This window comes from Homo sapiens, chromosome 6, assembly GCF_000001405.40.
Source record: "Homo sapiens chromosome 6, GRCh38.p14 Primary Assembly".
Lineage (NCBI taxonomy): Eukaryota > Metazoa > Chordata > Mammalia > Primates > Hominidae > Homo > Homo sapiens.
Window position 1 is genome coordinate 169422290 of NC_000006.12, and position 25807 is coordinate 169448096.

A 25807-nucleotide genomic window follows, 5' to 3' on the forward strand; every position below is an offset into this window, starting at 1 on the left:
ATGCCCCCGGTGGGTGCTCCATACCTTTCCTGTTTGCTTTTCTCCAAACGCTCCTGACTCCACACTCTACGCTGTTGTGCCTGGTGTCCTCCCTTCGCTTGGAGGAGGCAGCTCCTTGAGCTTTGTTCACCACTCAGCCAGCAGGTGGAATGGGGCCCACAGCAAGCACTCGGGAGCTACGTTCTGAAGGCCTGAGTGCGTGAACGGACGGTGCCTCCACTCCACAACACATTGCAGATGGAGAGAAATAAAACATGAAGAAAAGGCACTGCCTTTAATGAACCTAAAGCCAACCTGGCCAAACACACATGTGCATGCAATAACTGGGAGACGAGAGCTGCCATGTGCGATCAGGCCCGCTTGTGATGGAACCCATGCGTTTGGAGATGAGGAGGCTGTGCCCTGGTACCAAGTGGTCTCAAAGTGCTCAGTAAACTCAGAGGGGGGTCTACTGAAACAGGAAAACAAAGTGGATGCATGACTTGAAACGTGAAGGCTGAGGTTGAAAGAGTCACCATGGAAAATGTGACTGGGGGCCAAGAGGCAGGAGAAAAGCGTCACCAGAATGTGGGGACTGGCCAACGAGGGCAAAGAGCCTGCCACTCAAACAGGCTGCAGCAAACAGAAGCAAAGGCGGCATCCACTGCCCTAAGACCTTTGAGATGGGAATAAACCAGAGTGTTTTGAGTCTAATTATTCAGAAAAATCAGAGTAATGCCGAATGGCAGAATTTTAAAATAATAGTTTTCTACGTCAAAGGAAGGGCACATTGGCTCCCTTTGGAGTAAAGTTTTTAAAAAGTTGCTGAGGTAAACTCAGTGAAAATCCAGACAATGCTTACTCCCTGCAAATATGCAAAAGAGCCAGTCTCATCACTCACTTCGTTAGGGAAAGAAAGGAAAAGAATTCCTCACTAGCAATTGAGATTTTCTGGCAAAGTGCAAGGAGGAGAAAACTTTGACTCAAAAGCCCCTCTGTCCAGCTCGGCTCACTCAGAGCAGAGTCTCCGTGGACTTTCCAGGCTGTACTTCCACTCAGAACACAGAGAACGCCTTTCAGCATCTCAAGGCGCCTTGGGTCTGTCCCCAGGGGGATGTGCACAGCTGCAGTTAGAGGAAGGGGCATTTCCACCATTTTTTTTTTTTTTTGAGACGGAGTCTCGCTCTGTCGTCCAGGCTGGAGTGCAGTGGCGCGATCTCAGCTCACTGCAAGCTCCGCCTCCCGGGCTCACGCCATTCTCCTGCCTCAGCCTCCAGAGTAGCTGGGACTATAGGCACCCGCCACCACGCCCGGCTAATTTTTTGTATGTTTAGTAGAGACGGGGTTTCACCGTGTTAGCCAGGATGGTCTCGATCTCCTGACCTCGTGATCCACCCGCCTCGGCCTCCCAAAGTGCTGGAATTACAGGCGTGAGCCACCGCGCCCGGCCACCTCCATTCTGTGGAGAAAGCGGCTCACGGGAGGTTTTGACGCAGTGATTAGCATCCAGGCGATTATGAGAAACACGCATTTCTGTGCTCTTCTCACGACCTCTGATGACCACATTACGCCGAGGCACGAGGGGTTCACCTCGTCATTTTTCATCAGAAGAAAAGGAACATTCCTCCAGGAGCTCAGAGCTTCTCTGGCAGGTAGAAGGCAATGTGAACTCAGTCCCGAGTGCAAGCACGATAACGACCTTCTATGAATGGAAAGGGGCATTGTTGCTGCAGAGCAGCTGGAGGGGTGACCAACATGAGAGACGCCAAGAGCCAATGTCTGTCCAGCCGTGAGCCAAGGGCAGACTCCGCAGGAGGCCACGGTCACATAGAGCACTCGAAGGGTGACTCCAGGAAAGACAGAATGGTGCAGACTTGGGTCAAAAAGGCCGTGCGGTGACGCCATTGATCAACAGGACTTGGGTCAGAACGTTTACGGATGTTGAATCCCACTGAATACCCATCAATCAAAAATAGCTATTGAAGGTCCACATGATGAAAACCATATGCAGAGGGGAATGGGAGTGCCTTCGGCGGGGTGCTGAGTCCATCCTGCATCAGGTCAAAGCAGGAGGAGGAGGCGGGGGGGCTGCCACTGACTCACTCACAACCCCATGCAACGCACATCCTGAGTCCTTTCCCTCCTAACAGGCGCGACACCTTCCTGGGCGGCATGGGGGTGTCACTCCTGCTGGAGGCGCTTCCTCCTACACCTGCTCCAGCATCTGTGAGACCCACCAGAGACCGGCAGCTACTGGCTTTCTCCTCTCAACTCTAGAAGCGATGCCACGGGAGGATCACTGGCTGCAGGTCCCTCCCATCGCGCCGGACGCTCCCCGCCAGGACCAGATTCACGCGTGGCCATCCCCACAGGCCCTGTCGTCTACACGAGGCTGAGACCCAGCAGCTCCTTGTTCTCCAATCTCTCCCATCCCTGGGTTCTCCTCCCCCATCCCGTCCTGTGTGAACTGCTGAGCTCACAGCTCATCTCTGCTCCACTCCCTCCACGTCTCCAGCTGGAGGAGAAAACCCCACGGCCGGGGATGCTTCTGCGGTTCCGCCCGGGGCTCCCACCCGCGCTGCAAGGCTGCGAGTTCCCCTCATCAAGCCAGGGCCTTTTCCCGCTGCTGGCGCCAGCGAACTTCCTTAGATTCTCCACGACACGTGGCTCTGCGTGTCTCCATCTCTGACGCAGCTGCATTCTCTGAAAGCTGATGCCTGACCTTGGCATCTCCTCAGCACTGCTCAGGCGCAGGCAGCCGCTGTGCCCTGAGAATATCCTCCAGGCGATCCGGCTTGAGTCCAGCTCAACAAGTGGAAGTCCAGGGACCTCCCGATCTGTGCGCAGGAGGAGGCTGGCAGCGCCTGGGAAGGTGTCTGGGAACGTGCAGGGAGGCGCCTGGGAATCTGTGGGGAGGTAGCTGGGACCATGGGGAGGTACCTGGGAGCGTGTGGGGAGGCGCCTGGGAGCGTGTGGGGAGGCGCCTGGGAGTCTGTGGGGAGGCGCCTGGCAGCGTGTGGGGAGGCGCCTGGGAGTCTGTGGGGAGGCGCCTGGCAGCGTGTGGGGAGGCGCCTGGGAGTCTGTGGGGAGGCGCCTGGCAGCGTGTGGGGAGGCGCCTGGGAGTCTGTGGGGAGGCGCCTGGCAGCGTGTGGGGAGGCGCCTGGGAGTCTGTGGGGAGGCGCCTGGGAGTCTGTGGGGAGGCGCCTGGCAGCGTGTGGGGAGGCGCCTGGGAGTCTGTGGGGAGGCGCCTGGGAGTCTGTGGGGAGGCGCCTGGGAGCGTGTGGGGAGGCGCCTGGGAGTCTGTGGGGAGGCGCCTGGGAGTCTGTGGGGAGGCGCCTGGCAGCGTGTGGGGAGGCGCCTGGCAGCGTGTGGGGAGGCGCCTGGGAGCGTGTGGGGAGGCGCCTGGGAGTCTGTGGGGAGGCGCCTGGGAGCGTGTGGGGAGGCGCCTGGGAGCGTGTGGGGAGGCGCCTGGGAGCGTGGGGGGAGGCGCCTGGGAGTCTGTGGGGAGGCGCCTGGCAGCGTGTGGGGAGGCGCCTGGCAGCGTGTGGGGAGGCGCCTGGCAGCGTGTGGGGAGGCGCCCGGAGTGCCTGGGGAAGTGTTTAGGAGTATGTCGGGAGGTGCCTGGAAGTGTTTGTCTGGGGTGGTGATTTGTTGTGCATTCTTGCAGAGCCCAGCCCAGGCATGGACACAGCCCTTTTTCTTTGGGCTCCATACTTGAGGATTCCTCTCGAAAGAGCTCAGAGTGAGGGGTTCATTTTCATAATATCTGGGACAGTGGATGTGTCCATTTCCACAGCTCAGCCACACTGCTCCTGAAGACCCAGTCCGTGCTCCCTGCGCCCCTCAGTTTTTCCAGAAACTTTGCTTCCTGCTCTCGGCTTAAAGACACCTCGTGCCTCCGCAGGCCCGCCAGCGTGCGCTGATGAGCAAGGGACACACACCCAGGTGCAGCTGATCTGAGCCATTAGAGGAATTAAAACGCCAGCCTCCCCATCACCTTCACCTGGCAGTTCTTCCAGGACGATGGAAAAACTACTTTTCCTGCCCATCCCCTCTCTTTCCTCACCTTTAAATGGCCAAAATAGCTGCAGTTTAGGTTAAAATCACTTCGTTGTTATTATGTAACGAGCAAGCAAAGTTCAGCTCAGGAGTTTTGACAAGCCCCTTATTAACTTTATTAAAGGTTAACCGTCTCAAATTTACAGTAAGATATAGACTTATTTTATAAATTATGTCCATCAGAGCTATAAAATTGATATCTGAGCTATTAAAAGAAAAAAGCTGGAAACTTCATTTGTCCCTTTACCGTGCCAATTGAGTTCTGCGAGAGCCACTGGAAGCTCGCCGTGACACAGCCACAGTCCACCAGCCTGTGCTTCCTGCAGGCCATGCTCTGCTCCAGGATCTGGGTGGGCCCCAGCAGCGAGGAAAATTGGAAACTGTCTTTTTACTGGGTTCCATTGGTGTCACTGTGCTGCACAGTATCTGCTGAGGCCTCGCCATGCCCAAGCACAGCGCTGAGCATAGGACACAGAGGTGTGAGGGGCCACACCTTCCACACCCACTCAGCACCTGCCTGCTGCCTGCTGCTTGCCTGCTACATGCTGGGCCTCCTGACGAGGGCAGGGGGCCGACAGAGGAAGTGCAGCCCCACATCATCCGTCCCAGACAAGGGTCGTGGCAGTGCTGTGGTGGTGGGGGCAGTGGGGGGGGGGTGGCGGTTGCATACCATCCTGACCTTGTTGGATCAGAGGAATAAACAGATGAGGAAGAAATCAGCAGGTGAATGGCAGGAGGTACAGCCGCCGGGAAGAGCCCCTGTGGTCTCAGGCCTGAGGCCCTGAGGCTGGAAAGCAGGTGTTGGGTCCCAAAGGCCTTGGAGCAGAGTCCAGGCTTTGCAGGACTGAGCAGGTGGGGAGGGGGGAAACCGATCATCACCGCTGCAGCACTCTCTGGGAGAGCAAGTGGCTACCTGCGCTCTGAAAGAAGGGAGCAAAGTAGGTGGATCTGAGAACTATTGGAAGGCAGAGTCAAGTCCCTGGGATTTAGAGTGTGATGACTGGGCTGAGAGACAGGGAGGACCCAGGAAGACTGAGAATCTCCCTCTGTCCTTAAACCTGTGCACTCTGGGGACATCTAAAAAGTTTCTGACTCAGCGCCTAGGACCGTGGGCCCCCCATCTTAGAAACTGAAAGGAATGTTCATCTACCTTTAAGCAAAGGCTTGTGTTTTTAAGTGAAATCATCTCAGATCCAGGAGAGAGGGCTGGGAAGACAGTGTGCAGAGGACTTGGGTGAACTCCTGGGTCTCTGGTGTCTTTCCCAGTAATGTCTGCTGTGTCTGCAGAGCAGGAGTTTCTGCTGCTTCTTCTGATCCCAACTCCTTGCGTCCCTCGAGTCATTTCTATTCTGAATCCCACCTGTGCCCTTCACCCCAGGGCCTGTGTGGAGAAACAAGGGTGTCAAAAATGAATGAGACAGGACAAGGGGCAGCCCCTGTCTTATTTTGCTTCTTTGGAACAAGTGAAGACAAACAACAACCAAAAAAAAAAAAAAAAACCATTTCCAGGCGAATTCCCTGGATTATTTTAGCAAACTCCACAGCTTTTGATAAACTTGGGCCGAGCATAAGGAAGCAAAGAGTCGTACATCTTTTTCACATCCTTGCTCCTTTCACAGCAGGCTTTCAGCGGGAGGGGAGGAGGCGAGGCCCCAGAGGGGTCCCGGAGAAAGCAGAAGAAAGCGGCGTCGACATTTTCTGAAATGCCAAAGGTCCCGTCTCCACTTTCAATCTCCGCAGTTACAAAACAGAGGGCTGAGTCATCACTCCCATGAAGTCAGGGGAGGGGAGCCATTCAGAAGGCAGTTGTAATTTTTACTTTATCTTTTACTAAATATTGAGGATGGAAACCCCCAGCCTTTCCCACATGCATTTTCTCCAGTGGAGAGCTAGAAGACTGGGCCGTCTCTCTTGCCCTGCTTTTTGTCTTCTCTGAGGTCTTTTGAACTTTCCCCTAAGTGGGCTCAAAAGGGATGATTCAGTCTCCAAGAAGCCCAGCAAGTACTTTCAGAAAAGTTAGGGAAACGTTTTCAGCCATTTCAGAAAGTTTAGAGTGGTTTTAGTTATGGAATCTTAACACAGTTCTAAATTTGTTATGTATTCATTATCTGTTCTTAAACAGATATATTTTCCAAAGTGAATGCCACAATTTTCTGTGAACATATTAACGAATGTTTCAGAAAACAAAATTAATTAGTGGTCTAAAGTATTTGGGAAACCACGGGTTAAATCAAACAGCTTTCTTAGCTGCTCTGTGGGGGTGGGACGGTGGCGGGGGGGAGGGGGGGGTTCTACTCCTTTGATAGCCGAATCTGCACCACAGAGCTCTACAAGGGAGGCACATTTCCCAAAGGCAGCAGAGCCTGCAGTGAAGTGCCTGCTGTGCGGGGAGGGCCCGCCCTCCTATTAAGAGGGGCAGGTGGCTGGCGTCAGGGTGAGGGTGAGCCCTTGCCTTCACAGAAGATGTCCACGTGGTGGTTCTGGACTAGCCTCTTCCTTTCTCTGAGCCGCTCCTCTTCCCGTGAAGGAAGTCTTCGTCCCACTTCTCAAGGCTGCCTTGAGCTCAGAGGAGGATGCCTGGCTTGTAAGGTGCTCTCGGCAGCCACGGTTGTCCTCACTGGAAATGGAGCTTGCACCACACAGTGAGTGGGGCAGACACAGGCGTCCCAGACAAAACTCCCAGGCAGAAAGCAGAGAGTAGGAAGCAGCATCATTGGTCCCAAGAAATGATGGATCTTGCCCTCAGCAGCCCCTCTCCTGCAGCCAGAGGGGAGCGTCCTTCACCCTTGTTTTCCAGCCCCAGGCTCCTCTCTCCCGAGGCTCGTGTTCTCTGTGGCCGCATCACACGGCGCTGGGCGGCTTTGGCTTTGTCCTGTCCACAGGCCTGAGGACCCAGGGGCACTTTTACACTTCACAGTCACAAGCAGTCTAGGCTTTACTTGCTGACACAAGCCCTTGACAGCTGCGTGGGCTCCTGGTTGGTTTGCTTCAGCCGCCCCCGTGCCAAGGAGCCCACCGGATGGCTTCTGTCCTTGACTCCCTTGCACAGGCATTTGTGAAAAGACCACACTCTTCATCTCATGTCTGCAACAAGACTGAGTCCTTTTTTTTTTTTTTTCCCAACTGAGAAGTCTTAGTTTGTCATTGAAAGACTTTTAAAATTTTATTTCTGATTGTCTGGAATCTAGAAGTGATGAATGAATTCTCCCAACACTTCAAGACCTCACATTACTGGACTCTTTCTATTTTCTGTCACTTCTAGTTGGAAACCAGCGAATTCCATCCTGGCCTCCTTTCTTTCTTATCCCGCTTTGCTAAAGCACAAACTAAACCCAGCACACATGGGAGCAGGCATTTCAACTTTGTCGGGCACCACAGTCATCTGAAGGGTTATTAAAACACAGATTTCTGCAACCCACAATTTCTGACCTGGGGTCTGAAGTGGGCCCAAAACTTTGCATTTTTAATTTTCCAGGTAACACCGATGCTGCTGGTCTGGGGACTACAGTTGAGGTGCCCTGGCCTACGAGCTGTGGGTTTAGGTGGTAGTGTCCTATTTCCAAGCAATTTCAGATGACAGTTTTACCAGGTATTTGCCACGGTGTGGTATGGGTCCAAACACGTTTTCCAGATGAGTGATTTCCCTTCGAGTTGTGTTTCCAGGCCAAGGCCCCTCATGTCTCCTGGTTCCACCATCTTCAAGGGCCTCAAGGTCACTGGGCTCATCTGCTCTGAGCTGCAGAAGGGCACAGGGCATGGGGCTGTGTCTTGGAGGCTTTAGAAGTTGGCCCTAAGAGTGGCACACGTCAAACCCACCATATGTCACGGCCCAAACTCCATCATGCAGCCACACCAGGTTGCAAGGGAAACTTTGGTTCAGACACAGAGCCTGTTACCTGAAGAAAGAAGGGAGAGCTTGGTGAGCACCCGCCTACCTGCTACAGGGCAAGGGAAGGCCAGGCAGCCTTTGAACAGGCCCCACAGTGTAGTAGGAGCTTGCAGCTAGGCTAGGGGTATGCTTTGACACAGGACCAGACGGTCTGGTAGAGAATCAGATGTGTGGTGTGAAAGAAAGGAAGGAGTCAGAAATGAATCCAGCATGTTGGGCTGAACAACAGGAAAGATGCAAGCTCTGCACAAGTGGCTTCTGTGGCTGTTTTGTCCCTCCTACATCTCCAGCCCCAAGTGCCGGAAACCTAGTAGGCCTCATTATATGTCCTGAATGAGGACGAGGGAAGTTCAAATGGAAAGCTGTAGCTTCCACAAGGATGAAGAAGGAAAACAGGAACATCATAACTTGGAAGAAACTTTACCGACACTTTCAAACGAGGCTCCACTTGTCAGGGCAGATCCCAGCTCATTCTCTGGCACAGAGCTGTCCTCATCTGTAATAGTAATTATAAAGAACCTTGTAAGCTGAAAGTCATTCAAAGAAACGTAAATGAATCTTTTCTTGTTAGAATTGTGAACCCCATGATTAGCTGGAACAGTTTTTCCCGGTGGGGAGGAAGTTGACTGGAGTTTCTTTAACCATGGCATCATACATAGGCGGCCCCTCTCAAGTGCCTACTATGAAGAAATGGATGATATGAATCAGAGTTATCTTGTCCTGCCCATATAAACTATAGTCAAGAGACCGGGGGTGGGAGCACTCAGGGCACACACTGCTTGCCCAGGGATTCTGTCTGCTGAATGACTTGCTGTCACCTAAGATCAGTTTTACCTGGTAGCTGCCCAAGTGAACTGCCATGGCTCTAAGGCCAGTGTTACCTGCAACTGTCACTCACCAGTTAGGGCTTGCCAGCTCCCAAAGCCTCACTAGCGCCAATAATTTGTTTTTCAAGATAATATATTTATCTTTCTAATAAAACCCTCAAACTTCTCTTTGTGCATTGGATATATCAAAGACTGCCCCAGTCTGTATGTGTGTCCTAAATTGCAATTCTGATTTTCCAAATAAAACATTTTATTTAGAGGGGTCTCTCTAAATTTTCATTTGACTTTGACATTCTTGGTGTCAGAAGTGGGATCCAAAGCACTCACTTGACACATCAACAGCTGCTGAAACTACAACACGCAGCCCCCACACTTAGGGCTCTTTAGCCCTCTGCTTTCCCAGGTCACCTTTCTCCTATGTGAGTCTTTCTTGGATGGAGCTCCCATTTTTATATTGATTATTTGGTTTTCTTTGGGATTTAAGATGTGTCTTTTCCCCTCCTGATTATAAGCCTCCTGTTTATGAGGGATTTTTTTCCCTGTTAAAGGTGGCTTGCCATCCTTCCTGATGAGTATGTACTTTATCTTTAGGTTCATTTGCCCACTTGGATTTTATTTCAGTTTTTGTGCATTTGATATTAAACTAAATCACCTATATAAATTTGCTTACAATATGGACTGTCAAAGTTTAAATACTTGCCAAGATAGTACCTCCGTCCTGGGACTCCAGCATGTTCAAACAGTATGAGGATCATTCAAACAATTTATTTTTCTTAGAATTAAAGTAAAAGATTGTGGCTTTATATAAAATATACAATCTAAATAGAACACATTTCTCAACTGGTATCTTAAGGTTCCAAAATGCTTTCAGAACCCAAAGATTGCCTCACTGCAAACTACGGTCTCCGAGTAAGCTCAGAGTCTTTTCTCTTCAGGGCATTTTCCTCCACTTCCTACACGTCCTCTTTTTTATCCTCCTGTAATCTAAACTTTCTTTTTTTCAAAATTCCTCAGCTATTCTGGCATATTGACTATTTAAGTGAAGACACTTGAAAAACAGCAGTCACACACACAAACATTTTTAGCATTGCAGTGTTTCTCAAAAGCAAAAGAGAAAATTGCCATGTAGAAGTAGCCTTCCCTACACTAGAAAGACAATCGTTTTATTTTCAAGGATGAGGAACTGAGACCAAAAACATACTGTAAAACTTTATTAGAATAACTCTTATCTTTTAAATCTCCTCACCTAATTCAGACACATTTTCACAGTTAACTATGCTTTGTCCAATCCAGTATACTGGTAACTGACTCAAACAGCTTTACCAAAAATTTTGTTCACAGCTGATAGGGTTTGGCTGTGTCCCCACCCAAATCTCATCTTGTAGCTCCCATAATTCCCATATGTTGTAGGTGGGACCTAGTGGGAGGTAATTAAATCATGGGGGCAGTTTTCTCCATACTGTTCTTGTGGTAATGAATAAGTCCTACAAGATCTGATGGTTTTACAAGGGGTTTCCCTTTTTGCTTGGCTTTCATTTCCTCATGACTACCACCATGTAAGACGTGCCTTTCACCTTTCACCATGAGCATGAGGCCTCCCCAGTCACGTGAAACTGTGAGTCAATTAAACCTCTTTTTCTTTATAAATTACCCTGTCTCAGGTATGCCTTTATCATCAGTGTGAAAATCGACTAATACAGTAAACTGGTACCAGGTAGTGGGGCACTGCTGTAAAGATACCGGAAAATGTGGAAGTGACTTTGGAACTGGGTAACAGGCAGAGGTTGGAACAGTTTGGAGGGCTCAGAAGAAGACAGGAAAATGTGGGAAAGTTTGGAACTTCCTAGAGACTTGGAGGGCTAGAAGACAGGAAAATGAGGGAAAATTTGGAACTTCCTAGAGGCTTGTAGAATCACTTTGAGTAAAATGCTGATAATGACATGGATAATAAAATCCAGGCTGAGGTAGTCTCAGATGGAGATGAGGAACTTGTTGAGAACTGGAGTAAAGGTGACTGTTGCTATGTTTTTTGTTTTTTTGTTGTTTGTCTGTTTTTTACTTTAAGTTCTGGGATACATGTGTAGAGCATGCAGGTTTGTTACATAGATATACATGTGCCATGGTGGTTTGCTGCACCTATCAATCCATCATCTAGGTTTTAAGCCCCACATGCATTAGCAGGGGTCTCCCTCCCCTTGCCTCCCACCCCAAAAGAGGCTCCAGTTTGTGATGTTCTCCTCCCTGTTTCCATGTGTTCTCATTGTCCAACTCCCACTTACAAGTGAGAACATGCGGTGTTTGGTTTTCTGTTCCTGTGTTAGTTTGCTGAGAATGATGGTTTCCAGCTTCATCCATGTCCCTGCAAAAGATCAGAAATCATTCTTTTTTATGGCTGCATAGTATTCCATGGTGTATATGTGCCACAGTTTCTTTATCCAGTCTATCATTGATGGGCATTTGGGTTAGTTCCATGTCTTTGCTATTGTGAATAGTGCTGCAATAAACATATGTGTGCATGTGTCTTTATAGTAGAATGATTTATAATCCTTTGGGTATATACCCAGTAATGGCATTGCTGGGTCAAATGGTATTCCTGGTTCTAGATCCTTGAGGAATTGTCACACTGTCTTCCACAATGGTTGAACTAATTTACACTCCCACCAACTGTGTAAAAGTGTTCCTGTTTCTCCACATCTTCTCCAGCATCTGTTGTTCCCCGACTTTTTAATGATCGCCATTCTAACTGGCATGAGATGGTATCTCATTGTGGTTTTGATTTGCATTTGTCTAATGACCAGTGATGATGAGCTTTTGTTCATATGTTTGTTGGCCACATAAATGTCTTCTTTTGAGAAGTGTCTGTTCATATCCTTCCCCCACTTTTGTATGGGGTTGTTTTTCTCTTGTAAATTTGCTTAAGTTCCTTGTAGATTCTGGATATTAGCCCTTTGTCAGATGGATAGATTGCAAAAATTTTCTCCTATCCTGTAGGTTGCCTATTTACTATGATGATAGTTTCTTTTGCTGTGCAGAAGCTCTTTAGTTTAATTAGATCCCATTTGTCAATTTCGGCTTTTGTTGCCATTGCTTTTGGTGTTTTAGTCATGAAGTCTTTGTCCATGCCTATGTCCTCGATGGTATTGCCTAGGTTTTCTTCTAGGGTTTTTTATGGTTTTAGGTTTTACATTTAAGTCCTTAATCCATCTTGAGTTAATTTTGTGTAAGGTGTAAGGAAGGGGTTCAGTTTCTGTTTTCTGCATATGGCTAGCCAGTTTTCCCAGCTTTTATTAAATAGGAAATCCTTTCCCCATCGCTTTTGTCAGGTTTGTTGAAGATTAGAGGGTTTAGATGTGTGGTTTTATTTCTGAGGTCTCTGTTCTGCTCCATTGGTCTATATATCTGTTTTAGTACCAGTACCATGCTGTTTTGGTTACTGTAGCCTTGTAGTATAGTTTGAAGTCAGGTAGCTTGATGCCTCCAGCTTTTTACAATTGTCTTGGTTCCATATGAAATTTAAAGTACTTTTTTTTTCTGACTCTTGCTATGTTTTAGCAAAGAGACCTGTGGCATTTTGCCCCTGCCCTAGAGATCTGTGGAACTTTGAAGTTGAGAGTCATGCCCTTAGGTTATCTGCTGGAAGAAATTTCTAAGCAGCAAAGCATTCAAGATGTGACTTGTGTGCTGTTAAAGGCATTCAGCTTTACAAGGGAAATGGAGCATAAAAGTTCAAAAAATTTGCAGACTGATGATGCAATAGGAAAAAAAGAAAACACACTTTCTGGGAGAAATTCAAGCCAGTTGCAGAAATTTGCATAAGTGACAAGGAGCCAAATGTTAATCACCAAGACAATGGGAAAAATGTCTCCAGGACATGTCAGAGGTCTTCACAGCAGCCCCTTCTATCACAAGCCCAGAGGTCTAGGAGTAAAAAATGGTTTCATGGGCTGGGCCCAGGGCACCCCTGCTGTGTGCAGCTTATGGACTTGGTGCCCTGTGTCCCAGCTGCTCTAGCCATGGCTAAAAGGGTCCAAGGCATAGCTTAGGCCATGACTTCAGAGGGTGCAAGCCCCAAGCCTTGGCAGTTTCCACATGGTGTTGAACCTGAGGGTGCACAGAAGTCAAGAATTGAGGTTTGGGAACCTCCACCTCAATTTCAGAGGATGTATGGAAACACCTGGATGTCTAGGCAGAAGTTTGCTGCAGGGGTGGGAGCCCCACGGAGAACCTCTGCTAGGGCAGTGCAGAAGGGAAATGTTGGGTGAGTCCCCACTGGGGCATTGCCTAGTGGAGCTGTGAGAAAAGGGACCATCCTCCAGACCCCGGAATGGTAGATCCACCAACACTACCAACAACTTGCACCGTGCTCCTGGAAAAGCCACAAACACTCAATGCCAGCCCATGAAAGCAGCTGGGAGGAAGCCTGTACCCTGCAAAGCCACAGGGGTGGAGCTGCTCAAGGCTGTGGGAGTCCACCTCCTGTATGAGTGTGACCTGGACGTGAGACATGGAGTCAAAGGAGATTATTTTGTAGCTTTAAGATTTGACTGCCCCACTGGATTTCAGACTTGCATGGGGCCTTTAGCCCCTTTGTTTTACCGGTTTCTTCCATTTGGAATGAATGTGTTTATCCAATGCCTGTACTCCTATTGTATCTTGGAAGTAACTAACTTGCTTTTGATTTTACAGGCTCATAGGCAGAAGGGACTTGCCTTGTCTCAGATGAGACTTTGGACTGTGGTCTTTTGAGTTAATACTGAAATGAGTTAAGATTTTGAGGGACTGTTGGGAAGGCATGATTGGTTTTGAAATGTGAGGACATGAGATTTGGGAGGGCCCAGGGGCAGAATGATATGGTTTGGCTGCGTCTATCTCATGTTGTCACAAATATAATTTGAATCCAACTGTTTTCTCATACACCAGTGAATTTATATTATTATGTTTTACTCATAATTAATTTTTAAATAAAAGCTGAAAGTTTCTTGTTTTTTGGTCATCTGTATTTTTTATGCTTTTTAAATCTCTGTATGTTATGTTATATGTATACATTTTTTCAACCAGAATATATAAAAGAGCTCTATCGGGTTAAGGAGAAAATAACCATTTAATTAATTCATCACAAATATAGAAATCAACCCAAATATCTCTTAGTTCTTATGACTTAAGTAAATCTTTGAAAAATAAGCTGATTTTAAATTTATTCATAAAGCAAAAATAGAGCTGTTTTCAGAATTGTCAGCATACATTTTTTCCTGAGTTTATTGGTCAGACAGGATTATATTTTTCTCTACCAGATGTTTTAAGGTCATAAAACTATAAATCCAGCTTAAAAGCAAAATAATTTTTGTTGATGTAACTTATTGACAAATAAGACTAGTTTAATATTATTGGTTTAATGAAAACAACTGTATCTTCTGAGTTATCAGCTAAGTATCCATATATTTAACTTTAAGAGTCTTACTTAGATGAACACCTGATATTCACATGCTGTTAAAAAAATGATTAGAAGATAATGTGAAATAATTACTAGCTCTGTCTAATGTCTCAGTTTTCATAAAGTATGTGTAATTGTTAAAAATAAATAAATTAGGTAAATGTAAATGAGATTTATAAACTTTTCATGTAATTTGAAATCTTACCATTATATTGAATTAAATCATAGACATTGATAAAACATGAGTCATTTCTAAATAAGCTAAAATACAGAAACATTAATTGCTAAATATAAATTAATGTTTCTTTATTTTTGCCTTCTTAAATTTTATAAAAAGACAAAAGGCATGTTGGTCAATTAATATCATGTCCTGTTCCACATTAAAAGTTGTTCCATAAAAATCATTTTTAGACATTATAAAATACATATTGGTCCCGAGATAAAAATACATTATAATTCAAAATTTCTTCCTGGGTATTTACTAAAAATTAAAGTTACTAAACATTAAGACTTCTAATTAATATATGTAGTTCCATATACAAAGAAAATGTATATGCAAAAGTAATGTGTATGAGTAAGAATTTTGTGTGGTCTCAAAGATAGGGGGAAGAAAAAGTAAAATTTTGTCCTAAGGTAAAATGAGTGATTGTTCCAATATTTTAAAAAGGGAAATTATAGAACAAAAACTGGCAGGTCTAAGCAAATCATGGAGAGTTTATGAAGGATGGATCTTATAAAGTGAGTTTTGTATGTGATTGAGTTGGCTAGGACTGGAAGGAAATTGTTTGTTTTTCTAATAATTAAGTATTGGTGTCAGGGGTGCACTGATTAAGGACCAAAGTCTGGTACTCTATGTTTGAAATAGCAAGGTTTTCTCAGAATGTTGATCTGCTGTGGGTTTTAAAAAAGTTGCAAGGGGTTTTTATCTTAATTCTGAAATCTGTTTTTTTACATTTTCAACCATTTTCTGAAGTAGAGCTTTTTCTTATTTTACAGTTTCTACCTATTTTCAAATTAGAAGTGTTATCTTCTTCATGTAGGAAAAAAATTCATTTCTCAAGGTAGAATTTTCCTTTTGAAGCTTTTCAGACCCATATCTCAGTGGCTAGGCTTTATATGCAACCCACTCCATGTGATTTACCTTCTGTTCTTTCTTCGTTCCTTAAAAAGGTACATATTGTTGCTTAACTATAGTTCCTCAACTATAGCTAACTATAATTATATAGAAATTTTGAATTGTAATGTATTTTTATGTCATTAATATAATCTCTAAAAACAATTTTTATAGAACAACACTCTCCAACTTTTTTGTTAGTTGTTGCAATTTTTTTTTAAGTTATACTACTATTGTGGCCCGATGCTGGCCAACGTTTGTCTTAAAGTTTTCTCTGGTAACATGAGACTGTATTCTTGGCTCTTCTTTTTTTTATAATTTAAACTTTTATGTTAGATTCAGCGGGTATATGTTCAGGTTTGTTATATGGGTATACTGTGTGATGATGAGGTTTGGGTTTGGATCCCATCACCTGGGTAGTGAGCATAGTACCCAATAGGTAGTTTTTCAACCCATGCCCTCCTTCTTCACCCCCAAGTAGTCTGCAGTGTCCATTGTTTCCAACTTCTTTTCCATTGTTCTCATTTTTATATCTATGTGTACTCAATGTTTAGCTCCCACTTATAAGTGAGATCGTGGCTTTTCTTGATGTGTCTAAGTTGTTCTACGCAACCAGGCAATTTCACGTGTTTTTACTTTTACTTTTTCTTTTTTTTTTTTTTTTTTTGAGACGGAGTCTGGCTCTGTCACCCAGGCTGGAGTGCAGTGGCGCGATCTCAGCTCACTGCAAGCTCCGCCTCCCAGGTTCATGCCATTCTCCTGCCTCAGCCTCCCAAGTAGCTGGGACTACAGGCACCCACCACCACACCCGGCTAATTTTTTGTATTTTTAGTAGAGATGGGGTTTCACCATATTAGCCAGGATGGTCTTGATCTCCTGACCTCGTGATCTGCCCACCTCGGCCTCCCAAAGTGCTGGGATTACAGGCGTGAGCCACCGCACCCAGCCATGCTTTTACTTTTTCTAAAAGCCATGCATTCCCCTGATCAAGGTACTGGTTTTCTTGTTTACTTTATTCCTTTTTAATAAAGTGTACACTCATAATCTTGGACACATACTCTCGCAGTATCTAATTGGATTCAAGTACCTTTCCATGAGGTTCAACTTCTAGGTTATCCAAATGGGCTTCCCATAGGAAAGGCAGTCATACTGTAGGAGGCTTTTCACTTACCTTTCAAGTAATCAGCCTAAGAAACAGATATTTTATATTTTAAGATAAGTTCTTGTGCTTGGTGCTGTCTTTATTAGTTTTTTACTACTTAGAAAAACTAGGTCATCTCTAGTACAGGTCTAAGTTTTTTCCCTCTGAACTATGTAACTTTTTATATTTGCTTTTGAAGTCTTTTAATAATCACTCTGATTAAATAATTATCTCACAATGACATCTGATTATATTTTAATTAAATGTTTTAAGTTTTTTTAACATCTTTAACAAACTTCCCCAAAATCAAATTCTAATTTAAGTACTTTTAAGCTTAAATTGACTTTGGGATTTTTCAGTTGGGCCCCAAAAAAACATCAAACGATGCATCTCCCATGATGCTTATTCGATGGGTTGTATAAAGGCACTGTCAAATAATAAAGTGACACTAGCTCTTACTAAAATTATATTTAGATGGATGCATTATTGATGTGAATGCTTTAACATTTATAAAATTTATAAAGGTCTGATGGTTCTTACTGTGATGCTATCAGTAATGATTTTGGTTGTTATCTTAAAATGCCATACACAATAGAAATAACTAAATTTCTTAATCAATTGCTGAACTTTTATCACATTATAACTGTGACTGTTCTAATTTTTTGGTCATCTACAGTGCTGATTCTTATCTAGTGGCATCTGCAACAAGATTCATAAAAAAGATTCTAGCAAGTACTCCTCAGTACAGATGTCTAGTAACTTTAAGATCAATGGACTAAATAAAAATTTCTAAAATGCTAACAGGTTCATAAAACTGCTAACCAAGATAATGAAGAACAAAATTTAATTGCCTGAGATTGAATAACTGATAAAAATTATGATTTTTATGACTTTTATTTGAAACATTATTGGTTATTCATTTAAATATTTTGTTTTCCATATTTAAGAAAACTTTCTTTCTTGAGCTGCCTATAGCTTACAGCAATTTGGTAAAGTGCACTTTAATAAACAAAGGTGAAAACATTTACTTTTCTACTTGATCCCTTCAAAACTTGAAAACTATTCATGAGTTTTTTATGTTATGACAGTATGGTTTTTAATAGGATGCAATTATAATCGTTAATTATATTACCAATATTATATTGGTAGTTATATTACCAATATTATTATATTGGTAGTTATATTACCAATATTATTATATTGGTAATATAATTATTTAATATATCACATTTAAAATTAATATATCATATTTTACATTGTTTATACTCATACATACTGAAGATAAAATCTGAAGCCTGCCTTGATTTGGCTTCCTAGCTTCAAAATATTTTTAACAAAGGTCCAATCTGAGATTCAATCATTATGCTTGCTATACTAATATAAACAATCAGGCCAAATCTAATAAATCTGAATTTATGTTACAAACAAATTAGTGTTACTCTAATGATCTTTTGTAAAAATTGGGCTGTCTATAGTATATTGTTTTTAGACTGTAACCCTATGCATTGTTTTTGAGTTTTTATTATCTACCTGTAGGCTGGACAGGATACTAAACTCTCCTAAGTTCCTGTAATTCAATTTTTCTCTCACAGAATTACTAAGAAGAGAAATAGTTATTTCCTAACGCCCTATAAACAAATTACAGTTTAAATTTAGTTTTTAGTTTTAGTTTAAATAAATTTCAGGGGACAAGCCTCACGCCTAGTGTGTGGGCTACACAGAGTTCACCAAACCACCCAGTGACATAATGGGAGACATTCAAACTGTGAAACTGCCAACTTCATGCTGTAGGCAACTTTTCCCAAGAGCACTAAACCAAGACTCCATGTTCTAATAAGACCGTTGCCCCTCTTAATGCCTATCTTTTTCACTTAAATAATAGATTACTTAAGTGAAAATCTATTTATTATTGTAATAATAATTACAATGAGCTCATAATTAAAAGTTTAGAATCATACCCGATATGAATAACATAACAAAACCTGACTTAAGCAATTCTTAAGTCCACCTGTTGGGTAATTTTGGCAATACCCCCAAGACAACTTTTTGTTCTAATTGTACTAATGGTCCTTTCTACAGAGCTGGCACTCTGCTTTAATTCATCTTAATCATGAAATGCTAGTCCATGGCTACAACAAGTCTTCCCACTTCCTCTATGGCTTTTTCATCTGCTGAGTTGGTTGCCCTTAGGCATGAGCTCTTGGTTAAAAACCTTTGTACAAATTAAATTTATTATATTGTTGCTGGGTTTTTTTTTCTTGTATTTTGCTCTTGATATTTAAGCTCTGTTCTTGTGTTTTGTCTAATCTTTGTAAAAATCAGTTATCTCAACAGGATGATGTTAGCCAAATACTTTGAGATTATTGACAATGCCTAAGAGACTAATAAGGTAGAACTTGATGCTAAACTCCAGGCAAACCTGCCCTAAGAAAGGTTTTGGTTGTTTCATTCTGTTTTTCTTTCTGGCACCTTTGTTACTCAAATGCGGTCTGGGTCCCTGATGTTGACTACCTTACTTCCCCCGATGGGGGACCAGAGACCACCAAGACAGGTCCACTAAGCACCAAAAGACAATTAAACCTAATTTCAAGACAGTTGATCAGTAACATTTTCAGAAAAAGATCTTGATCAAAAGGGGGAAATGTGAGAATTAATGATGTGAACTGAAGTTAACTTGTCCACCTAAGTAGATTAGAGTCAGACCAGCGGCAGGTGGGAAGCACCGAGGCACAGGTCACTTGCCCAGGGACAATCTCACCAGCCAGCTGCCAAGTCACTTGCCCAGGGACACTATCAACCAGCTGCCATGTCAGTTACCCAGCGACAATCTCACCAGCCAGCTGCCAGGTCACTTGCTGCAACCTTAAGGCCATTTTTACGCAGGAGATGCTGAAACAAACTCCTGTGACTCCAAGACTAGTGTTACCCACTCTTGTCACTCACCAATCCGAGCTTGCCAGCTCCCTAAAACCTTGCTAGTGCCAATGAATTTTCTTTCACAACAATGCATAACATTTTTCTTTCTAAGAAGACCCTTAATCTTCTTTCTTCTTTGGACATACTGAAGACCACCTAGTCTGTGTGTATGCTTCAAGCTGAAGTCTGTTCTCTAAAATAAAACACTTTATTTAGAGATTCATGTATATATTTTTATTTGACTTTGACAATACTCATATGCCACCTCAGAAGCAAAATGTTTTTAAAAAAGAGGACGGCTTTGGGAAAACCATCACATAGGTTCTATTTTTATGTTTATCTATATACATAACTGGGATATTCAGCCAAAAAAATAAAATATTTCCCCTGACTTGTGATGGCCATTGGCAATTATAAGAAAAGTCATCCCAGAATTGAAAAGTTCAGCCATGCCCTGCCCCATGGGCCAGGTTCGTCTGCTATAAACACTCAGACAGCAAGAATTAAATGGATCCTCATCTCTGTTTTCTCAGTGTTGTGTTTGGAACTGAAAGTCTTTTCCTCCCTTCTTAATGGTGTTAATCACATCTTTATCAATAGAATTCAAAAGGCTCCCTTTATTGCCCTCACAATATGCTCTCCTGAGGCAAATAATTTAGACTCAAGTAACTGCCAAGATTACTGGAAACAATAAACCATATTTACACATGCCTGTTAATGTTTTATGTCTGAAAGAATTCTTATAAAATAGACACCCAGCATCTAGAATCAGGAGAGATATGGAACCTCCCTTTTCATGTTTGTTTTGTATTTTCTTTTACAGGTGAAAGGTAAAAGGTAAAACTTTATATTTTTATCTCCTTATTTCCTTAAGATCTTCTAATTTTAGGAAAATATTGTATCATGTTTTCACCCTCCACAAACAATCATTCTTTTTTCCAGAAATATCTTGACTCCCCTTCAAGAATTTGTCTTCTCATGAGGTAGTAGTGGTGGCTCTGGCTGTGTCCCCTGTGGTCTCCTGCCTTTCCCTGGCCCAGGAGTGGGCACATAACCGAGTGGGACCACAGCTTGGAGTCTGGAGTGAGAATAGGTGGGAAGCTCAGTGGAGAGCATATCTGGCCACCTGGCCTTGGAGTTGTCCTGTCCTGACGGATGCAGGACGACTGAGCCTGTACCTGAGCCCACACCTCCTCCTGCTGCCTGGGGATTCTGCAGGCCACCACCACCCCCACACATTCCCAATGCTATTAAGCATGCCACAGTTATTTTCTGTGGCTTGCAACCAAAAAACTCTAATAACTGATACAATTCTGCAAAGCCAACAGTCACAGACTACCAATGGCAATGAGAGGAGACCACATTCCAAAAGACAATGTGATGAGCATTTAAAGAAAGAATTACCTATGTCTGAGTGAAGACCTATGACACAAAACATGCAAGGAAAGTGGGCTGAGGTTGGGAACACAGGACATATTTTCATGAGGTTTAAATGGTTCATGCAGATTGAAGCCAGATCTGGCCTCCATGTCCTCTGGTCTCCCCTGCCACGTCAGCCACAGAATGGATGCGTGGACAGCAACACGTGCCGTCACCCAAGCTCAGCAGGACCCTCGCCTCCCAGGCTGGGTACTTGGAACTAAGAGATTGTTTAACTCTCCTGTTATTCATTTGAAACACAAACTTTGATAGCCATGATTCATCTTAATATTTAAGAGAATGGTTCCATTCGCTTTGATAGGCATGTTTTCTAATCTATTTTAAAATACTACTTTACAGTAACATATGGAAATTTGCACCTGGGGTACACATTAGTGGTGCTGTGTGTACATTTTATTTTTGGATAACTGTAAGATGGAAAGATTTAGAGATGTCTGGAAGGCTGGGTGCTCTGGCCCTGCTGACCAACAGGAAGTCCATGCCAGAGGTCGTGTCCATAGCAGTAAGAATGGAAATACTAGAGCTAAGCCAGCAATCCTGCAAGGGACCTGGATGACACACATAGGCTGAGGAGGAGCCACAGAACTCAGGACAGACCCTTCAGAGGCAGGGAGCTCAGGCCTGATGTCATCGCTCAGCCACCAAGGACATGCACATGAAGGTGGTTCCTAGCAGCTCTTGGGTCCTCATAGCAGGGGCAGCTGCCTCCAATAGAAGACTTCATGTATACTAAGAACCTTGTCCTTCTTTGAGTCCACAAAGCCTCCCAAGAGGTCCAAAACAGAGTCATTCAGGCCTGGGTTTCCAACCTGGCATTGCCACCTCCAGCAAGGCACGTAGGGATGTCGATTTCATTATTTATAAAAGGAAGATGGCGGCATAGACATGAGCTCCTTGCCATAGCCCCTCCTTCAGCTGAGCAGGTTGCAGTCAACGTGCTCAGATGCTGGATGCCAACGCTGGCTCTATTCCCAGGGTCTGGGGCTGAAGTGCATGAGACTCCCAGTCACGTGTCCAGATGGCTTTGCAAATGGCCATGATTCCATCCCCACAAGCACAGGTGCTCTGCCAGATCCCTATTTGCCCATATCCTTTATCTAACTCCCGCAAAAACTTACGCGCTCCTGGCCTGGTAGTGAGTCTGCTACCCACTCCATCACCTGCCCACCCTCTACTTCCCAGGAGCCAAATAACTGCCCTATATATGCATCATCAAATGATGGTCTCCTCTAAAAAGAATGTGTTTGGCTCTAGACTGTGCAGTGTGTTTGTCCCTCATTAGCCTGTGTCTGCTGCCAAGGGCATTCATCATACAGCCCCGTGTCGGATGATTTCAGCAGCACTCAACTGTGAGATGGGTCTCTTTGGGATCCTTTGATGCAACTCAAGAAGCATTTCTGAGAGTCCCTGCTGTCCCAGCTCCACCAGGGCTGGCCAGAGCCGGCAGGGGCCACACGTCTGAGGCCAACCACCGCTGCCTCCTTTACAAGCAACATCTCCAGAGACCCAAGCCAGTGATTGGTGCCTTCACTTTAGAGGTTGACTTATGAGCCAGTCCTCAAGAGATGGTGGACTGTTTTTTTGTTTTTTTTTTTTTCGTCTTTTGTTGTTTTGCAACGGTTTAGATTTTGCAGCTTCAGAAACAACCAGATCCTGCTAGAGGCAAAATCCAAGTAAATCCAAGTGAAGAAAGTGTATATACAGGGGCCTCTGTCATTCCCAGGGTCTGAGGCAAACAGTGTCACTGTTCTTATGTCAAGTAGCCCAATCCTGGGCTGCCCTTTTGCCAGAGGCTGCACAGCCCTCTGTGCATGCAGGAATCAAGCATGTTCTCTTGTGTCCTCCTCTGCAGAATGAGGACAATACTATCCCTTACCTGTAAGCTCAGGGTGAGGATCAAGTGTGTTCAAACAGGTAAAGAGCTTAGAAGAGTGTCTGGCACACAGGATGGGATTCGTGTGTCCAGTCCTTATCAACTTCAAATACAAACAATAACGATGGCTGGCTTGCCGTGGTCCCAGCCCACTGAGCTAAGTAAAAATACCAAACTCACTGTAGGAAAAGCAAAAGCGTGATGCTATCATAAGAATTGTCACACGTGCAGATGATGGCTTGGGTTCTAGTTCTTAAGTCTTCTAATTTGCTGGTTTTGTGTTGATCCTGAATAAATTTAGAGCCCTGCCTACTTTCACTGAGACTACGGGGAGTCCTCTGTGCTGCTGGAAAATCCCTAATAAATACACAGAGGAGACTTCCTGGGGTCTCCACCGCAGGTCATGATCATGAGCCTGGACCGCGAAGGTGTAGGGTCTCCGGTGTAATTCCCACTTCCACCACTAGCAACCAGGCTGTAAATGCCACCCTCTGCCCCTGTTTCCCCAGCTGTAAAACAGAATTAATTGTAGGTCCTACATTATGGTGGTGTTGGGAGAACTGAATGAGTTAATGTGTAGATAGTGGCCGTCACCCAGCAAGCATTCTGTGAACATTAGCTATTATTACAAACGAAAATCTAAAAACAAGATTAGTTATTGCCATGGAGCTTTCCTGTCAGTCCCTTCTGAAAGTCCAGGGATGAAAGGAACTATGAAATGCACCTGAGAGCTCCTCTGGGCCCGCCCTGCTTCAGCCGCCAGCACTGCACCTGCGCTCTGCAGTCCCTCCCATCACAGCGGAGGTCTGGCAGCACATCCCTGCCTGCAGCTGCAGACCGAGGCGGTGCTCCCAGCTCTCGAAGCTTCTCAAGGAATCCGGCAATAGCCGGTGACGCCTGGACCCCCGAGCCCTGACTGAGTCTTTGCAGGCTGGGCTGGGTGGGGTGGGGGGAGGCAGGCCCCTGCAGGCCCCCCTCCCTCTGCAACAGAGCTGGCTGCCCCAGCCTGTGATTTGTGTTTACACAGGCTCCACAATGAGGTGTGGCACTTAATGAAAGGGCTCTGTCACTTACCCAGTGAAACAGGGAGTCTGAAGGCCAAAGAACTGGTTACTTCTTGTACGTGAGGCAGGACGATCTGAGCTCCGGCCCGGACGGAGGGCGAGCACTCGGCTCCCTTCAGTTCAGCACAGAGGAGCAGACCTGCTGCTGAGCTGCCGTGCAGCACGAGCTGGGGGAGCGGGAAATCATGACCCACAGGCTTGTCTTCAGAGAGCCTGTTGAGGGTGGCATGTGATGGGCACCTGAGCACCCAGGTCAGAGGCAGGGTGGGGGGACTTCTGGGAAGCCAGTCCTGAGTTAAAGGACTCTGGAAGCCCACGGCAGGACCAGGGTGCAGGGAAGGTGGGCAGGGGCCGGGCACAAGGCGGGACCAGGGTGCAGGGAAGGTGGGCAGGGGCCGGGCACAAGGCGAGGTCTGGCTTCTGTGGTGTGGTCCAGGACTTCTTAACATTTCCTTACCATGGCACACACAGAAACAGAAAAGTCTGTGGCACACCGGGGCAAACCACAGGATTTGGGAGCATCTGCAGGGGGCAGGAGGGAGAAAATGCCTTTTTTATGTTATGTAATCGTGAAAGAAAAGTAAAACACAAAGCAGGAGGAAAGATCTTAAAAGGTTGAGTTTGAACAATACTTCCAGCAAAGGTCTACTCAAACTTTAAATGAAAATTTTAGCTTGTTCTTACAAACATAACTCTTTTACACCAAGCTTTATGAGTAAATTGGCTACAAGAATTTCCTGACTCAGAATTTAAGGAGTCACTGTGATAACCACTTGGTTATTAACATTATTAATAGTACAACAAAATAGCATTCTTGTATTGAGAGACAACAGTCCTGCTCTCACGCTTAAGTGATTAAAAGCGGCCACTTCTCCTGGTTGACTGAATGTCCTGTCTGGCCATTACACAAAAATTGGAAAAGTTGGTCTTTCTAAAATGGGCTGAGAAGCATGTGATCATTCTATACATCTTTTTTTATTTTCTCTCATTGAAAAACGTAGTTGAAATTTCTTATGATAATGCAAAAAGATTTCCAATCTAATGGCACTTTTAAAAATCAAGTATTTCAAAGTCACAATAAAATTTTTCCATAAGAAGATGCAGGTATTTCTGTACTAATTTTTTTCTTTAGGATTCATATTATAGCACTAACTACACATGACTGGAAAACCAAATTTAACAACATTTTTCCAAAGTTGAATTTTTGCTTCACACTTATGAGCTGTGTTTTTATGTTAGTATATTTCAATTATACGCAATTTAAATATGTCAGGGAAGAAAGCCAGTTTTTGAAGAAAATACTATCCTCAACAAATCTTTTATAAAAAGTTTTTCTTCAATTTTTTTAAATGTTTGATAAAACTTCCTGGGGTCATCAGGCATTTTAGTGGGAAATCTCTGGGTGGTCTTCAGATTCCATTTCTTCTCTTGAAGCTAAAACTGGACAAAGCAATAACGACTTGGATTTCAACAACCCATCATTGAGCATGGAAGTCCAATTTACAAGTAATTCTGTGTTGTTTTGTTTTTACATAAGGAGACTCTGTGATTACTACTGTGCAATATTGGAGTCTAGGGATTTTCAGAACAAACTCTCAAGTGGAGGCCATCACACCTCCTCTGACTTCATCCACAGGGTGGGTGGACCGACACAGGTGGGGTTTCCATCAATCTCATTTGTCTCAAGTATTCAAGTACTACTTTGGATATTTACTTGTTTGTTTTGGTACTTCCTTCAGGACAAATTATTTTCTTCCAAGAATGTCTCTTCAGGGATTCTAACTGGGGCTATTAACAATCACTAATGTCTATATACAGAATAATTCATCTGCAATAAAAACTTTTTAAATCAATTTCTGGGTCAGAGTTGGGAAGTCAATGAGTTGGATTTTATACTTACTTCCCTCACCAAAAATGATACAACAGTAAGGGGTTCCTAACTAAAACTCTATTAGTACTTTAGAATTTATACTAAATCTACTCTTGAATATTTCCCTAGGTCAAACATCTCTCAATACAAGAATGCTATTTTGTTATACTATTAATAATGTTGAAGTGCATAAGATTTTATAAT

The 25807-nt window shown here is 44.4% G+C and overlaps 1 protein-coding gene and 1 long non-coding RNA gene across 4 annotated transcripts in view, besides 1 other annotated feature; one reads left to right on the forward strand and one right to left on the reverse strand.

Annotated features, from left to right (window-relative positions):
- The first annotated feature begins 2725 nt into the window (after positions 1 to 2725).
- On the forward strand, positions 2726 to 5569 carry LOC124901473 (uncharacterized). The gene is made up of 2 exons (XR_007059894.1): positions 2726 to 2851; positions 3884 to 5569. It is a non-coding gene; the product is annotated as an uncharacterized LOC124901473 (long non-coding RNA).
- Positions 4131 to 25807, reverse strand: part of WDR27 (WD repeat domain 27) — a 275610-nt gene continuing 253933 nt past the window's right edge. Inside the window, exons 26-28 of one of the 3 annotated variants that reach the window (XR_007059231.1) lie at positions 8352 to 8423; positions 5189 to 7934; positions 4131 to 4958 (exon numbers count right to left, since the gene is read on the reverse strand). Coding sequence is in view for 2 of the 3 variants with exons in the window: in XM_011535688.4 (XP_011533990.1) it covers positions 8379 to 8423 (45 nt within the window). In the remaining variant the exon portion in view is untranslated. Of the gene's footprint in view, positions 7935 to 8351; positions 8424 to 25807 lie in introns of all 3 variants that reach the window. The other 2 variants (XM_011535688.4, XM_011535687.4) reach the window with 2 other exon arrangements.
- Positions 6818 to 7385: an enhancer, noted in NCBI's record as "H3K4me1 hESC enhancer chr6:169829202-169829769 (GRCh37/hg19 assembly coordinates)". NCBI's record gives its function as "activates a minimal SCP1, AML or CMV promoter by ChIP-STARR-seq in naive H9 embryonic stem cells {active_cell/tissue: H9 hESC(naive)}" and the evidence as "EXISTENCE:reporter gene assay evidence [ECO:0000049][PMID:30033119]".